This window comes from Homo sapiens, chromosome 18 (genome assembly GCF_000001405.40).
Source record: "Homo sapiens chromosome 18, GRCh38.p14 Primary Assembly".
NCBI classification, from domain to species: domain Eukaryota; kingdom Metazoa; phylum Chordata; class Mammalia; order Primates; family Hominidae; genus Homo; species Homo sapiens.
The window spans coordinates 23,101,292-23,113,752 of record NC_000018.10 but is presented as its reverse complement, the minus strand read 5'-3'; the positions used below and the strand labels follow the sequence as shown (position 1 = coordinate 23,113,752).

Genomic DNA, 12,461 nt, shown 5'->3' with positions numbered 1-12,461 from the left:
TCAAGTGAGCCCCCAGGCCATGCCCATGGACGTCCCAGAACCAGGGATGGCTGGTTCTGGCACCAGCTTGCAGCTGAGGCAAGACCTGTCCTGTCTTGAGGACATTATGCTAAGTGAAGTAAGCCAGTCATGGAAAGACAAATACACTGTGATTCCACTTGTATGAGGTACTTAGAGTCATCAGAATCATAGAGACAGAGTGGTGGTAGCCAGGGGCTGGGGGGAGGAGGGAAGGGGAGTTAGTGTTTAACGTACAATTTCAGTTTTACAAGATGAAAAGAGCTATGGAGATGGGTGGTAGTGATGGTTGCACAACAATGTGAATGTACTTAATGCCACTCAACTAACTGTACCTTAAAAATTGCTAAGATGGTGGCGGGCTCAGGGACTCACTCCTATAATCCCAGCACTTTGGGAGGCTGAGGTGTGCAGATCACCTGAGGTCAGGAATTTGAGACCAGCCTGGCGAACATGGTGAAACCCTGTCTCTACTAAAAATATAAAAATTAGCTAGGTGTGGTGGCTAATTAGCTAGTCCCAGCTACTCAGGAGGCTGAGGCAGGAGAATCGTTTGAACCCAGGAGGCGGAGGTTGCAGTGAGCTGAGATTGCACCACTGCACTCCAGCCTGGGCGACAGAGTGAGACTCTGTCTCACAAAATAAAATAAAAAATTGCTAAGATGGTAAATGTCATGCTATGTATATTTTACCACACAGACACATATACACACAATGGGGAAAGGAGAGAGGAACCTATCCTGACCCCATTCCCTAAGGAACTTCAGCAGGAAGTAGCAGTCACTGCAAGAAGTGTCTTTTGCTCCAGGTTTCCCTCTGCCCACTGACCCTCCTCCTCTCAGTCTCCAAATGTTGAGTGTCCCCAGGCCAGTCCAGGACTTCTCCTGTCTACACTCGCTTCCTAAGTATCTCATCCAATGACAAGGCTCTATGAGCTGTGACAGATTCTGTCTTCCAGAGTTGGTCCCAACAGTATCTCCCATTCTATAAGCTCTTCTCCAATATGACCTCCACACTCCTTCCACAGAGAGAAGGGGTCTTCAATCTAGGCAGACTTGTGACTCTCTTGTCACCAACAGAAGGGGGTAGAGATGATGCTATGTGACTTCCAAGGCTAGGTTAGGAAAGCTGCCATGTAAGTCGTCCAACTCCCAAAGGCTGCCATACTGGAAGGAAGCCCAACCCTCATGGGGAGGGCACTGTAAGTATCCCAGTTGACAGCCTGTGCTGAGGTTCCAGTGAATAACCAGCCATATCTGTGGGTAAAGATGCTTCCAGATGATTCCAGTCCCAGCTCTCATGTTGCCTCCAATCCTTGAGTCTTCCAAGCTAAAGTCCCAGAAACTGTGGAGTAGAGACTAACCATTTCTTCTGTGCCCTGCCCTGGATTCCCAGCCCACCAAACTGGTGGGCAAATGAAATAGCTGGTTTAAGCTAAGTTTGGGGTTGTTTTTTTTTTTTTTTTGAGACGGAGTCTCACTCTGTCACCAAGCTGGAGTGCAGTGGCGCGATCTCGGCTCACTGCAACCACTGCCTCCCCAGTTCAAGCAATTCTCCTGCCTTACCCTCCCAACTGGCTGGGACTACAGGCATGCGCCACCATGTCCAGCTAAGTTTTGTATTTTTTTTTTTTTTTGAGACAGAGTCTCGCTCTGTCACCCAGGCTGGAGTGCAGTGGCACGATCTTGGCTCACTGCAAGCTCCGCCTCTTGGGTTCACACCATTCTCCTGCCTCAGCCTCCCGAGTAGCTGGGACTACAGGTGCCCATGACCGCGCCCGGCTAATTTTCTGTACTTTCAGTAGAGACAGGGTTTCACCGTGTTAGCTAGGATGGTCTCGATCTCCTGACCTCGTGATCCACCCGCCTTGGCCTCCCAAAGTGCTGGGATTATAGGCGTAAGCCACCGTGCCCGGCCCAAGTTTTGTATTTTTAGTAGAGACGGAGATTTAAGAAGCTTCTCACAGAACTTGCTCAGGTGAAGCTGATCTTAAGCTGCTCATCTCTCAGGCATCCTCATCTCAGTAAGTGATTTCATCACTTATCTGATACCCAATTGCCCAGGCCAGAAATCTAGACATTGTCAGTAAGTTCTCTCTTTCCCTCACCCTCCATTCAGTCCATCAGCAAGTCCTGTGCCCTCCATCTTCAAAACATTTCCCATATAGGAGCACTTTTCACCTATGCCACGGGTTTAACCTTAATCCAAACCACATCATCTCTCTCCTGGACACTCTACAGAGTCCTCTCTGGTCTCCCTGCTTCCACTCCTGGTCTGCAGTTCCCTTCCCCACAATCAAGTCTCCAGAAGCCACAATGATCGTTTCAAGATGTCAGTTACATCACAAGCCCCAAGCCCTCCTTGCTTACCTGTCTGGTGATTGTCTGGGAATCTAGCTGGGGCTCTTGGTCAGAACATCCACATCTAGCTTCTCCGTGTGGCCTGGACTTCCTCACAATATGGTGGCTGGGTTCAGAGAAGAAGCATCCCAAGAGAAAGCAAGAGAGTCCCCCAGAACCACGTTGCTTTCTAGGACTGAGCCTCGGATGTCACTTCTGCCACATTCTATTGGTTGAGGCAGTTACAAAGTTCCACCCAAGTTCAAGGGGAGGGAACACAAACTCTACCTCTTAATGAGGCCTGCTAAGGTCACATTCTAAGAAAAGAATCTAGAGTGGAATATATATTCGTGCAGCCACCCTTGGAAAATACAATATACCACACCATCCAAAAAGATTTAATTCCATAAGTGACCAGGCGCAGTGGCTCATGCCTGTAATCCCAGCACTTTGGGAGGCCGAGGCTGGTGGATAGCCTGAGGTCAGGAGTTCGAGACCAGCCTGGCCAACATGGTGAAACCTCATCTCTACTACAACTACAAAAATTTGCCGGGCATGGTGGTGTGCACCTGTAGTCCCAGCTACTCAGGAGCTGAGGCAGGAGAATCGCTTGAACCCGAGAGTTTGGAGGTTGCAGTGAGCTGAGATTGCACCACTGCACTCCAGCCTGGGCAACAGAGTAAGACTCCATCTCAAACAAACAAAAGAAGATTTAACTCCATAAGAAAGAAAATCATCTATACACCAAAAAATATCACAAGGACAATATAAATGCAAAAGACAGGTTAAAGAAGCGCTAATTCCTCTTCTTTAGCTCCTCACTGAACTCCTCCTTTGGACATTGTGGGTTGATTTCAAGCTTCAAGGGTATTTGGCTGGTAACATCTTTTATAATCCTACAGGGACAGGAAGCCAAGAATGCTCTCTCCCTCAGCTCTACCTGTAAGGTTCACTTCAGATGCTCCTTTCCACAGCCCCTCCTCACCCCCTGTTACCAGCTACTCACCCCTTCTCCCTTAATTATTCACCTTTTAAAATCTTACCTCTCTTTAATCCCTCAAGTGTCAAGTTGTAGACCTTAAATATATACAATGCTTATATGTCAATAAAAAATTTTTTTTTCTTTTTAAAGAAGCTGGGTGTGGTGGCTCATGCTTGTAATCCCTCGTACTCAGGAGGCTGAGGTGGGAGGATGACTTGAGGCCAAGAGTTTGAGACCAGCCCAGGCAACACAGCAAAAACATCTTCGCTAAAAAAAAAAGACAGAGAGAGAGAGTATATTGAACTATAGATTTTTCAAAGGGCAGGGATTTTTTAAATTAATTACTGACCCCCTTCCTGCCCTGGTCCCATTACTGTTCACATGTATTAATTATTTAATATATGGTGGTGGAATTCACAAAGAAGTGATTGTGAACCAGGATCCAGCTCATCAATAGTTAATCCTGGAATATAGTAGGTGCTCAATTAAAACTTTTTTTTTTTTTTGAGATGGAGTCTTGCTCTGTCGCCCAGGCTGGAGTGCAGTGGCACGATCTTGGCTCATTGCAGTCTCCACCTCCCGGGTTCAAGCAATTCTCCTATCTCAGCCTCCTGAGTAGCTGGGATTACAAGTGCCTACCACCATGCCTGACTAATTTTTGTATTTCAGGAGAGATGGGGTTTAACCGCGATGCCCAGGCTGGTCTCGAACTCCTGACCTCAAGCAATCCACCCGCTTTGGCCTCCCAAAATGCTGGGATTACAGGCCTGAGACACTGCATGCTGCCTAAAACATGGTTTTTGTTTGGTTTGTTTGTTTTGAGAAAGAGTTTTGCTCTTGTTCCTTAGGCTGGAGTGCGATGGTGTGGTCTCGGTTCACTGCAACCTCTGCCTCCTGGGTTCAAGCTAGTCTCGTGCCTCAGCCTCCTAAGTAGCTGGGATTATAGGTGCCTGCTACCACAGCTGGCTAATTTTCATATTTTTAGTAGAGATGGGGTTTCACCGTGTTGGCCAGGCTGGTCTCGAACTCCTGACCTCACGCTATCCACCCACCTCGGCCTCCCACAGTGCTGGGATTATAGGCATGAGCCATCACGCCTGGCCCTAAAACAAGTTTTTAATGAATGGACTGCAATCCACCAAATACGAGACACTTATGGGAGAAGTAAGCCTAAGAGCTGATCCTTGCCTTCAGTTACTATTGACATCTTGTCCAACAACAGAAGAGCTGTTACAGGCAGTCAATGATTATAAGTTACTGATGACAGTCAGCAGGATTTAGAGAGACAGCTTTCCTAAGCATGGACAGGCAAAGTCAGAAAACATAAAGGAGAAGATTGATGGTTTCTATTGCATAAAAGTGAAACACTTTGGCTGGAAACGGTGGCTGACACCTGTAATCCCAGCACTTTGCAGGCCGAGGCAGTTGGATCGCCTGAGGTAGGGAGTTCGAGACCAGCCTGACCAACATGGAGCAACCCCATCTCTACTAAAAATATAAAATTAGCCAGGCGTGGTGGGGCATGCTTGTAATCCCAGCTACTCAGGAGGCTGAGGCAGGAGAATCACCTGAACCCAGGAGACAGAGGTTGCAGTGAGCCGAGATCGCCATTGTACTCCAGCCTGGGCAACAAGAATGAAACTCCGTCTCAAAAAAAAAAAAAAAAAAAGTTGCATGTCAGAAACCTTTAAAATTGGCATGCTCTGTGACCTGGCATTTCGACATTTTCAGATTCATGCCAAAGAATTTATTTCACAGGTCTGCCAAGATTTGTACACAAAGATGCTCCTTGAAGTATTGTTTTTAATAGCAGAAAATTGGAATTAATGTCTAGCCATTGGGACTGCTTAAATAGATCACTATAAAGCAACACTACATAGCCAACAACTATATAGCCATTTCAAATGCTGATACGAAATAACATTTAATGAAATGGAAGTATATTTACGTTATATAGCTAATTTTAAAAAATCAGATTCTCAAGCAAATGTACAATGTCATTTTTTCATCATATAGATATATACACACACATATACATATTCCATAAACATTAACTTGCAGATAAGCAGCCTAGAATGATTTATACCAAAATTTTAGAATTCTGAGTGATTTTATTTTTCTTGTCTCTTTTATGTGTTTTTAAACATTCCACACTCACTTATATTACTTTTTCTATTCAAGGAAAAAAATACCATTATTTCTCTTTAGTGGTGTGGAAGTTGGCCCTTAAATATAGATGGGAATGCCAGTTCGGCTGTTTCCTTTGAAAACATCTCAAGGCCCCAGGGGTGCACATTTACAACAGCCCGTTCTCTCCTGAGAGTAGAGGGAGGGTGGGAGGAATTTTGGTGAATGTCTGTACTTGCAATTCATCCTGCAGTTAATCTTTAAGACTGTGGGAATAGGTGCTTTGCGTTCCCTAGAACTGAAGCACATAGGTCTGGTTTGCCGTCCTTTTGTCTATATCACGTGGAAAGGTCTGGGCGTGGAGGCCTGCCTTAATCTAAATGCCACACCAGCCCCATCAGGGGCATTTCTGTTTCCTAAGTGATCCGACAGATGTGCTTTATTTTCTCCCATCAGAAATAAAGGGATGATATCATCAGTTCTATACACTGCACGTGGGGGTGGTGGAGAAGTGAATGACAGCATTCTGCAGGATAGAACCAGATGGGTGTGAGAAGCTGGATGGTAAGAGGGAAACAAAGTTTACTTATCTTCTTGATTTAGCTCTCAGTTTTATGAGGATACAGAAAAATCATGCGAAGAAACCTGATGGGAATAGTCTCTAACACTAAAAAATAAAGCAATGGGGCCGGGTACTGTGGCTCACGCCTGTAATCCCAGCACTTTGAGAGGCTGAGATGGGTGGATCTTGAGGTCAGGAGATCGAGACCTCTTGGCCAGCAAGGTGAAACCCCATCTCTACTAAAATACAAAAAATTAGCTGGGCATGGTGGCACGTGCCTGTAGTCCCAGCTACTTGGGAGGATGAGGCAGGGGAATTGCTTGAACCTCGGAGGCGGAGGTTGCAGTAAGCTGAGATCACGCCACTTCACTCCAGCCTGGCAACAGAGCAAGACTCTGTCTCAAAAAAAAAAAAAAAAAAAAAAGCAATGACTCAATCTTCAGGAATTCCTCTGACTCTATTTCCAAATATAATTCCTATATAAAACTACCCCCCTGCACTTTAGGGACCACTAAGCAACTGAATATTACAAGACAGAAAAAAGGAAGATTAACAATATGTGTTCAGATGCTTGCACCAAATATTAAACCTTGTCAGTTCACCATGGTTATACCCACGGGGGATCTGTGGGTATAAATAAAGACATTTCCTTCAACTTCAAGGTATTTGTTTTTTCCACTGTGCTATTTGCTAGAACCAAAAGATCAGGAAATGCTTCTAAATGCTCAAGTGTTTTAGCTGACTTTTTACAAGGTTTCCTTTGGATTCAGGAAGCTTTGAATGGCATAAATGGGCTCTGTGCAGATGCTTCTAGAAAGTTTATGTGTGCTCATCTCAGAGATTCCCAGAGAGTGGCTACCTCCACATCCCACCTCATGGGGCCCATGACCGATGACAATAACGTCAAAGGAGGCTGTAACTCTCTCTTAACTTTTTCAGGCTTGAAACCACAGAAAGCAATAAATTCAATGACACATATGATCGGCATCTTTCCCGTGCCAGCAGCCACGGCTGTGAGCCGCCAGGGACCCAGTTGTGTTAGAGACCTTGACCTCATAGAGTTGACAGCTGGGAGTGAGAATGGAGCTAAGGTGGGGACTGCTAACAGGCTTCTGGATATTTCTGTTCTTATTTTATTCTTGGATAAGATGACAGAGGAAAATGATTTTAAACAACCTGTTTGATAAAACCATTGGCGTATTTAATGGAATGCCCTCTACAAATGCTAAAGGGAAATTTAATAATCCCACAAAGTCTCCCAACTCTCTCCCTTTCTAAATACAGTTGCATGTCCTACAGCTACCCCACAAATCTCTCTCCTCTTTTCCTCCACAATCTCCCAAATTCACTCCCAACCCAGCCTCTGACTTCTCTCTCTCTCCTTTTTCTCATCCTTTTCCAGTGGATGGGTCCTTCTTCCTCCAGCAACTGTCTCTTCTTTCCCGTAAATCAAGTCAGGTCAATCTTGGCCCTTCTCATTTTCCTCCTTTCCTTCAACCGCACAAACGCAGGCACGGCATCTACCAAGAAAGACCGACTTCTCCTTATTCAGTGCGGGAACTCAGCCGGTTATATACAGTTAACTGGTTCCACAAATGCGCAACCTGAAGCAGAGAGGGCAAGGAACTTACCCAAGGCCACACAGCCTGGAAGTAGCAGAACCAGTCTTCAAACTTCCTGATTTCAAAGCTTGGGCTGTTTCCAAAGTGCAGGGGAGGCCCTCAGGGAGGGTTCTGGGTGGATGAGGAACAGAATTAAGTCCTGTTTACCGACCGCCATGTCCTCTCAGACTCAGGGGGCGGATCCGCTTCCACGCCCAAGACAGGAAACAGCCTTTCTCCCGGGAAGCTCCCTAAGGTCTGCGCCTCAGGAAAATTGTCCATCCCCATATCTTGGAAAAAAGCTTTCTTGCTCCCAGAGGCCTGCACAGGGGCGTCCACGCTGGCTTCCTGTGAATGGCGCCCCTGGAGTTGCGGGAGGCATTTTGCCCCTGGCTGCACAGTTCCTTTATTTCTCATGACGCTTTTTTGGAGGCCTTGAGGAGAAGAACTGCAGCATCTGCTCTTGGTTCACAGCCCTGCCGAGGTTCAAAGCCCACGGTTTCTCACTAACGCTTCAGGCAGGGCCAATCAATACCCTAAGCTTCAAACTCATGCTGTGTAAGGAACCTGTAAGAACTGACACCTCTGGGTTGCAGTGAGCCGAGGTCACGCCACTGCACTCCAGCCTAGGCGACAGAGGGAGACTCCGTTTCAAAAAAAAAAAAACTCCTCTGGTAGTTGCAGGTGTTTCAAAGGCTCTGAGAAAAGAGTGTCCCAAATATATACGTAAATACATGACCATCTTCTCAAGAAGTTACTGTTATGTAAAGTTCAAAAAACAACCACTTTAAGGGGAAATTGATGGGGTTCAGAACATGCTACCCTAAACTATGGCACCTTGGTATTTGAGAAAACAGCCCTGAAGACAGGCACACAGAAGAATCTAAACAAACAGGTCCTGCTGGGTTCCCTTCAGTTTATTCCCATTGGATCACATCCTTTTCCCTTCCAGTCCTATTTCTTTACAACTGTCCACTTTTCGTTAAACTAAAAGTAACAATGCACAAGTTTAACCATTTCTTTGGGTCTTAAATGCTGAAGGCTCCCGTGTCATGTAAAACTTACAATGAATTAAATTTGTATGCCTTTTCTCTCCCTCTTTTTCTTTTTTCTTTCTTTTTCTTTTCTTTTTTTTTTTTTTTTTGACACAGAATCTTGCTGTGTCACCCAGGCTGGAGTGCAGTGGCGTGATCTTGGCCCACTGCAATCTCTGCCTCCCGGGTTCAAGCAATTCTTGTGCCTCTACCTCCCGAGTAGCTGGGACTACAGGTACGTGTCACCGCGCCCAGCTAATTTTTGTATTTTTGGTAGACGGGGTTTCACCATGTTAGCCAGGCTGGTCTCGAACTCCTGACCTCAAGTGATCCGCCCGCCCTAGCCTGCCAAATCTTTTTGGGACGAAGTCTCACTCTGTCGCCCAGGCTGGAGTGCAGTGGTGCGATCTTGGCTCACTGCAACCTCCGCCTCCTGGGCTCAAGCAATTCTCCTGCTGCAGCCTCCCAAGTAGCTAGGATGACAGGTGTGCGCCACCACGCCTGGGTAAGCAAATAAATATATTTTTTTTCTTTTTTGGGACAGGGTGTCACTCTGTCACTCAGGCTGGAGTGCAGTGGTGCAATCATAGCTCACTGCAGTCTTGACCTCCTAGGCTCAAGCAGTCCTCCCACCGCAGTCCCTCAAATAGCTGGGATTATAAGTGTGTGCCACCATGCCCAGATGATTTTTTAAATTTTTTTGTAGAGATAGTGGTCTTATTATATTGTCCAGGCTAGTCTCAAACTCCTGGCCTCAAGTGACCCTCCCTCCTGATCCTCCTTCTTTGGCCTCCCAAAGTGCTGGGATCACAGGCATGAGTCACCATGCCTGGTTCCTTTTCTCTTGCTAATCTGTCTTTTGTATATAGGGGGTCTCATGTATGAACCTTGCAATGGGTAAAGAAAAGAAATCTGGCCAGGCACTGTGGCTCATGCCTGTAATCCCAGCACTTTGGGAGGCCGAGGCGGGCAGATCACCTGAGATCGGGGTTCCAGACCAGCCTGACCAACATGGAGAAACACTGTCTCTGCTAAAAATACAAAATTAGCTGGACGTGGTGGTGCATGCCTGTAATCCCAGCTACTCATGAGGCTGAGGCAGGAGAATCACTTGAACCCGGGAGGTGGAGGTTGCGGGGAGCCGAGATCACGCTATTGCCCCCCAGCCTAGGCAACAAGAGCGAAACTCCGTCTCAAAAAAAAGGAAAGAAATCTTCCCTCAGCTATAGAACCTATGAGGCATTTTGGTGAGTATGGGACAAAAGAACAGGAAGAGAAGAGACTTCAAAATGTCTGAAGAAACAATTCTGGGCTAGAGGGCACAGTGGCTTCTCCTCTCCCCCTGTCTAGATAGGCCTCCCTGGTTTTTCTGGGGCCTCCAGAGTCAGAACTCCACTTTCCCATGGCCAAACGTCCGCAGCCACTTCCTACCCTGCCCCCTGCCCCAGGTAGCTGGTGGCCAACGTGAAGGCCACCTACAGTAAGAAAAGTAGTCCTACATCTCTGGACCAAAGGAGGTTTTCGATGAGTGAAATTCCATGTGCTTGGGGTTTGAATAAGCCTGGACCTCCTAATTCATTTTTAATACTCATCTTTGATCTGCTTTTAGCTTAGTGACCAAACAATAGTCAACTGGTTCACCAAAACCAGAATGAACAGGTGCTTTCTGGAAGCCTCCTCCTAGGCTCTTAAAAAAATATAAATCAACAAAGTGTATATAACGTGAAAACATGATTTGACAACATATTCCCTAAACATAGGTGAAAATTTTGAAAAAATCAAAATAAGATTTTAGAAAGAAGCACATTTGCTTTAAATGAGTGACCCCAAGCACATAGAGTTATGAAACTCTATGTGCTTGGGGTTTGAATAAGCCTGAGCTTCATACTTCATTTTTCATACTTGTCTTTGATCTGCCTTTAGCATAACAATCAATCAACAAACTTTGGACTGACTACTTAAAGAACCATGGTGGGAGAAACCGCGCTAGATTCATTATCTCCCTACCAGAATTGCAGGGGGAAAAACAACATTCTTTCTAGCTTAGCGTTCAGAAGAAATCCCTTTATCAATTTATGTCAGTTTTAGCAATTTAGACTCTATTAAAATGTGGAGCAGCAAAAGACTGAAACCTCAGAATAAGGAGCTGGCCAGGCAGGGTGTCTCATCCCTGTAATCCCGGGACTTTAGAAGGCCAAGGTGGGCAGATAGCTTGAGCCCAGGAGTTCGAGACCAGCCTGGGCAACATGGTGAAACTCCATCTCTACAAAAAAAAAAAATTTTTTTTTTAAATTAGCTAGGTGCAGTGGCACGCCTGTAATCCCACCTATTCGGCAGGCTGAGGTGGGAGGATCACCTGAGCCTGGGAGGTCGAGGCCACAGCGAGCTGAGATTGCGCCACTGCATTCCAGCCTGGGTGACAGAGTGAGAATGTGTCTCAACAACAACAACAACAAATTTTTTTAAAAAAGAATAAAGAGCTGAGAACAGCCTTTCTAGAAACTCAAGAATTAGTATGCTAAAACGATGTGTCAAAACTGTGGTCTTTTTGTATTTTTAGTAGAGATGGGGTTTCACCATGTTGGCCAGGCTGGTCTCAAACTCTTGACCTCACGTGATCCACCCACCTCAGCCTCCCAAAGTGCTGGGATTACAGGCGTAAACCAAAGCGGGCGCCTGTAATCCCAGCTACTCAGGAGGCTAAGGCAGGAGAATCGCTTGAACCAGGGAGGCAGAAGTTGCAGTGAGCCAAGATTGCGCCATTGCACTTCAGCCTGGGAGACAAGAGCGAAACTCCGTCTCAAAACAAAACAAAACAAAACAAAAAAACCTGTGATCTTCCTAGAAACTCTCAAGAAAACCCTGTCTTCACAGGAACTGTCCAGTCGTTTCCCTTCAAGTGCTTGCGAGTGAACCCCAGAACATGAACAGCATCAACTGCTTTGTGTCTCTGGTTCCTTTTCCAGAGGAAAGCACGCTGTTGTTAGGAAGTGTCTGTATGTTGTGAGGTTCTTACAGCTTATCAAAAGCTCTTCATTAAGAGAAATGCGTGCCAGCAGGCATAGCAATAAAAAGCCTCAGATAGACAGACACACACCCTTCAGAAATTCAAACATTCATGCCTGTGTCAACAAGATTTCAGATAAGGACAAACCTAAGAATCCAAACATCATATTCTACTCGCCCTCACCTCACCTGCCTCTGCCTGCACTGTATTTTCATGCATTTTAATTTTCTTTTTTTTTTTTTTGAGACGGAGTCTCGCTCTGTCACCCAGGCTGGAGTGCAGAGGCGCGATCTCGGCTCACTGCAAGCTCCGCCTCCCGGGTTCATGCCATTCTCCTGCCTCAGCCTCCCGAGTAGCTGGGATTGCAGGCGCCCACCACCACGCCTGGTTAATTTTTTGTATTTTTAGTAGAGATGGGGTTTCACCATGTTAGCCAGGATGGTCTTGATCTCCTGACCTCGTGATCCACCCGCCTCGGCCTCTCAAAGTGCTGGGATTACAGGCATGAGCCACTGCACCATGGCTGCATTTTAATTATTATTATTATTATTATATTGAGACAGAGTTTCACTCTCGTTGCCCAGGCTGGATTGCAATGGCACAATCTCGGCTCTCTGCAACCTTCACCTCCTGTGTTCAAGCGATTCTTTTGTCTCAGACTTCTGAGTCTCTGGGATCACAGGCATGTACCATTGTGCCTGGCTAATTTTGTATTTTTAGTAGAGACGGCGTTTCTCCATGTTGGTCAGGCTGGTCTCGAACTCCTTACCTCAGGTGATCCTCTTGCCTTG

At 46.1% G+C, this 12,461-nt stretch overlaps 1 long non-coding RNA gene across 1 annotated transcript, besides 2 other annotated features; it reads right to left on the bottom strand.

The window, feature by feature from the left end:
• Window positions 1–7,207: 7,207 nt before the first annotated feature.
• LOC124904266 (uncharacterized) lies at window positions 7,208–7,821 on the bottom strand. The gene is made up of 2 exons (XR_007066311.1): window positions 7,660–7,821; window positions 7,208–7,548 (listed from the first exon to the last, which is right to left on the bottom strand). It is a non-coding gene; the product is annotated as an uncharacterized LOC124904266 (long non-coding RNA).
• Window positions 7,477–7,976: an enhancer, noted in NCBI's record as "H3K4me1 hESC enhancer chr18:20685741-20686240 (GRCh37/hg19 assembly coordinates)". NCBI's record gives its function as "activates a minimal SCP1, AML or CMV promoter by ChIP-STARR-seq in primed H9 embryonic stem cells {active_cell/tissue: H9 hESC(primed)}" and the evidence as "EXISTENCE:reporter gene assay evidence [ECO:0000049][PMID:30033119]".
• Window positions 7,977–8,478: an enhancer, noted in NCBI's record as "H3K4me1 hESC enhancer chr18:20685239-20685740 (GRCh37/hg19 assembly coordinates)". NCBI's record gives its function as "activates a minimal SCP1, AML or CMV promoter by ChIP-STARR-seq in primed H9 embryonic stem cells {active_cell/tissue: H9 hESC(primed)}" and the evidence as "EXISTENCE:reporter gene assay evidence [ECO:0000049][PMID:30033119]".